Source organism: Homo sapiens, chromosome 12, assembly GCF_000001405.40.
Source record: "Homo sapiens chromosome 12, GRCh38.p14 Primary Assembly".
In the NCBI taxonomy this organism is placed as follows: Eukaryota; Metazoa; Chordata; class Mammalia; order Primates; family Hominidae; genus Homo; species Homo sapiens.
In genome coordinates this window covers 13,338,928-13,343,766 of record NC_000012.12, presented here as the reverse complement: position 1 = coordinate 13,343,766, position 4,839 = coordinate 13,338,928, and the positions used below count along the sequence as shown (strand labels likewise).

Below are 4,839 nucleotides of genomic sequence, written 5' to 3'. Positions count from 1 at the left end.
CAGTCTTAGGTTATTTAGATTTGATGCAGCATAGGGTGTAGTAAGGAAGTCATAGCTGGAGATAAAAGTTTGGCAGAAGCCCCGCTATGAAGAACTACATAGGCCATCCTGAGGAGCTGGGACTGAATCCCGTGAGCAAGGGACAGGTACTAAAGGGTTTTAGGCAAGGATATTCTATGAGTCATTGTATGAATCAGAGAGACAATTCTGGCAGCATCCTGGGGAAAATGTGATTGAGTGGATGCTGGTGATGTTCACCCAAATCAGAGTGAAGGTAGAGATAGCTTGGAGGAGGAAGAGGATGAGTTATTTAGGAATAGTTTAAGTTTCCAATATGTGATAGATTGTATTACAACCAAATTATTTGCTGTTTCTCACCCAGGATGTCCACCAGGTTTGGTCATGTGCCTTTGTTTTGGCTAATGAAACGTGAGCGAACATGGGGGAAGTTTCAACAGCTGGCTTATGCTTTGCCAAGATCTCTCTTTTCTTTACTCTGAGGTTTTCAGTGTTCCACCCAGAGGCTTCTCTGTTGGCTTGGGCCCTAGAGTGGAGATGGTTTGGAGCATATCATCGTCAATCTGTGGTGAGCAAGTAGAATGAGTAAGAAAGAAACCTTTGCTACTGTAAGCCACTGAGATTTGGGGAGGGTTTGCCACCACAACATAACCTAGCCCATTCTGACTGAGTCAAGATGCCTGTGGGGACATTATATTTACATGAAGTTTACCAATAGATCATTTTTTAAAGGATTAGCCATCTTTCTCTACTCCTATCTGAAAACTTCTGGAGTAACTATTCATAGCTCTATGTCTTGAGAAAAGTCATGTGTCCATTTTTACAGCCGAGATGGGGCTATAAAACTGTGTCCTGCTCTCAGTATAGGATCTCCACAGTGTAGGGTGGGTGACCACAGTGATAAGGGGCCTCACAGGTGTATAGGAAGGCACAGTGTCAGAGTAGGGATGTGCATAGTCAACTTTTAAGAAATGGTGGGTGACAGAGCTCAGTTAAAAGGATCAGCAGATATGGATTTTATCTCAGTATGGACCTTGCCGATGAAGAAGGATTATTGACCCAAGAATCGGGAGAGAAAACCGAAGAGAGGGTTCAAAGAAGGTCTGAAGTTGAGAAGGGAGACTAGCAAGCCCCTGGAGGCTGCAGAGAAGTCTGAGACTGGAGAAAGGAGGCTCGGACAGAATTCTGCTTCTGTGTGTCCCAGGGTCTGGGGGTGGCACTGTGGCTCTGTGGGCCACTCCACATGGCTATGTGCTGTCATGCACATGTACCCATGAGATTTCCCATCTGGGGGGACATGTGAGTCTCTGTGTGTGAATATCATGTTTGTCTTCTCTGAGCCTTTTGGAGAAACAGAAATTCATGAGATTCTGTTACATGAGAGTAGTGTGGCTCTGCCCCACCTTGGTTGTGAGTATACTATTGTGTGTGATAATGAGGACTATCTGATCCTTACAAAATAAGAGGGAAAGAGCAACAGGAGACACCACTCTTTCCCCCAGAAAGGCTGACAGTTTGCTTTCGACTGGAGAAAAATAAGAAATCTCCCAGGAAGCAAATGTCATGAGGGGAAAGGACAATGACGAGAAAATGAGACACAAGGGAAGGGGAAAGAAGGTGAACTTGATAAAAAGTCTGCAAGGGAATATAAGTGAGAATTCTACTAGTGAAGATGGAAGAGCATTTTGAGAAAAGGAGACAATTTTAGATGAACCAAAACCAAATAATATCAAAGGCATTTCTCTACATTCTTGTGCAGCCAATACCATAACATTCTGCTTCATACATACATTCATTCATTCACAAGCATTATTGAGAACACATGTGTGCCAAGCATGTGCTAAGTACCAGGGACATAAAGATGAATAAGATCCTGCTTTAGTCCATTTGGGTTGCTATAACAAAATACCTTAGAATGGGTAATTTATAAACAACAGAAATGTACTTCTTGCAGTTCTGGAGGCTGGGAAGTCCAAGATCAAGATGCCAACAGATTTGATGGGAGCCCACTCTGCTTCATAGATGGTGCTTTCTTGCTGTGCCCTCACAAAATGGAAAGGGTAAGAAAGCTCCCTCAGGCCTCCTTTATAAGGGCACCAATCCCATTCATCTGGTATTCACCGTCATGACCTAATCACCCCCCAAAGACCCCCCCTCTTAATGACATTACATTGGGAATTAGGTTTCAGCATATGAACTTTGGGGAAGCACAAACATTTGGACCATAGCAGATCACCCCTGACCCAAAATGTTCAGTCTATGGTGCCTTATAAATTTATTACGTGCCATTTTTGCTAAAATATTAGCTCCTTAAAGACTAGGACTGTGTTTTCTCAATGCCTAGCACATAGTACATCCTCAACAAATATTAATTGAAAGAACAAATGAAGGAATGGATGTCCAAGGGGAGAGATACACTAAAAAACAATGACCCTCCAGTATGGTAAGTGCTCTAGCAACATAAATTGCTATGTGAAGCTTGAAAAGGGGATTCCTAGAAAATGAAAAGCCTGCCTCTAAGAGCTCAAGCTGTGTGATGATGGGGAAGAGGATGTGGGTCCCTCTGAGGACTTCAGCAAAGTGACGGAAAAGGAGACTTGAAGAATGAATAGGAATCTCACAGCACAGCGGGGTAAGCCAAGCTCAAGCTCTGAAGACTCAAGCAGCTTCATCCAAATGGGGAGCAGCAAGAACTCCACATCTAGGATGAAGTTCCCGTTGGGGTTGTCTAATGAAGAGAAGACAATAGAGGCAATAGAGGACCATTAAATGCTTTTAAAAAAAAAAAAAGAGGAACATTATTAGAATTGCATTTTCTACAAAAGCATTCTGCTACCAGCATGGCCGACAGATTTCAGTTGGGGCAGTGCTGAGACAGAGGAACAAATAGGAGACTATTGTGGGCAGTGTCTGTGGGAATGGCCAGGAAAATATGCATATGGGAGAGACTTAGAAGCTGGAATCAAGGATCTGACAGCCCATTGGTACAATCTAAAGTGGTTATAATAGCACTCAAAAATCTGGCTTGAGTGGGCGGTACTACACAAGTGACTTTTTGGGAAGGAGGACAGTCAGAGTGACAGGAGGAAGCTGTCTTCCTACCAGCATTCTGAATTCTAAAGGGATGAGAGAAGATCAAGCAACCATGCAGTGACCAACAGGCCATGGCTGAAACTACCTATGTGATGCCATCTGCGTTTATTACTGACTGGAGCTAAGTTGTGCTAAGATTGGAAGGAGAAAATGAAGAGCCTGCCTCTGACAGCTTGAGCTGTGTGATGGTGGAAGAGAGAGTGTAGGTTCCTTTAAGGCCCATGTACAGGGTGAATGGGATGACCACTGCCTTTCCAATGACAGCCAGGCCCAGAGGGAGACTTCTGGCTCCAGGAGGGCTGAGATCACGCCAGGCTTGTTCTCCAGGGTATCCCCAGGGAAGGCAGTGTCTGGCACATGTTGGAAATAAATGTTTGTTTAATACATAGAGGGAGATCAAAGTATGATTCAGATGGGGGTGGACATATATGGAGAGAACTTTATTTTCCACTTTTAAGACTCTATTCCTGGTGATGGAGGTGTGGGGAGAGGGTGGGGGAATTTAAATTTATCGACTGACAGTAATTCAGCATCCTTTGGTTTAAAAGTCTCTTTTAGTTAAATTTCATCCCTTTAGGGTAAAGATCATCTGACAGTCAGTATTTCTTCCTCCTTCCCCTTTTCCGTTCCTATTCCCAAGGTGGGTAGGGGGGACCTAAGTTTTCAAATATTTAAAAAAGCACTGTGATGTTAGTCGCCAGAGGGTGAGGCCACACTCCCAGTCCATACCTTGTCCTCTGACTCTGGCTAGAGGCATTGCTAGAGTCCACAGATGATGAACTCCACATTCTCTCCCTGGGAAACTAACACACCCTTCCTTTGAGTTGTCTACCTATCCTATTAGTCATACTCTCTGTCAGGGGTTATGGGAACTATCAAGTCCCGGGCATGTCACACACAAATCATGCCTGCCAAAGAACTACCATACCCAGCTCCCCAATCCCAGTGCTGGCTCCACCCTTTCTCTTGTCATGCATGCCCCTTACTCATTATGGGCTCCTCTGATAGGCTGGCAGCCTCTGTGGGCTGGGGAAGCAGGGCTCCACCCACAAGAGTCCCAGAGGCCTGCACATCTATCTTGGTGTGTTTACCACACACTGAATTCCAAGGTTGACCCTGGTGGTGGCAGGAACATGGGAACATGAAAGTTGTAATTGACCTATTTTCCTAGCTCCTCCTCTCTAAACCAGACACTCATGATTTTTACCTTTGTCTAGAAGGCATCTCAACCTACGAGTCTTGCAATTCACTCTGTTTTAACTCACCTCTTCATGTGGGAAACCCATGTAGAGAATTGAACTGTAATCTCCACAGACTATTGATCTTTTAACTAGGAACCCCTGGATGTGTAAGCCTCAACCTGCAGAAACAAGTATCTCTGGTAGGATTTCATGTTCTTCCTGTTAGACGGAATGAGAAGAACTTTTGAGTTGTCAGCTCCTCTCAAACTCGCTTGACCTATATAAATGTGTTAAGAGCCACAAACTTAACTGCCATGGTCCCACTTAGCTTAACCTTTGGTAAGTGCCATGGTGCTTAGAGAATTTTTTTTTTATTTCGCTGTAAAGCATGGGCCAGCAAACTAAGGCTTATAAGACCAAATCTAGCCCAAGGCCTGTTCTTTTTTTTTTTTTTTTTTGGGACAGAGTCTTGCTCTGTTGCCCAGGCTAGAGTGCAGTGGCACGATCTCGGCTCACTGCAAGCTCCGCCTCCTGGGTTCACGCCATT

General features: G+C 44.4%; 1 annotated feature.

The window, feature by feature from the left end:
• Window positions 3,279-4,478: an enhancer, noted in NCBI's record as "MED14-independent group 3 enhancer chr12:13492223-13493422 (GRCh37/hg19 assembly coordinates)". NCBI's record gives its function as "activates an origin of replication core promoter dependent on BRD2, BRD4, P300/CBP and CDK7 cofactors, and independent of MED14, by STARR-seq in HCT116 cells {active_cell/tissue: HCT116}" and the evidence as "EXISTENCE:reporter gene assay evidence [ECO:0000049][PMID:35650434]".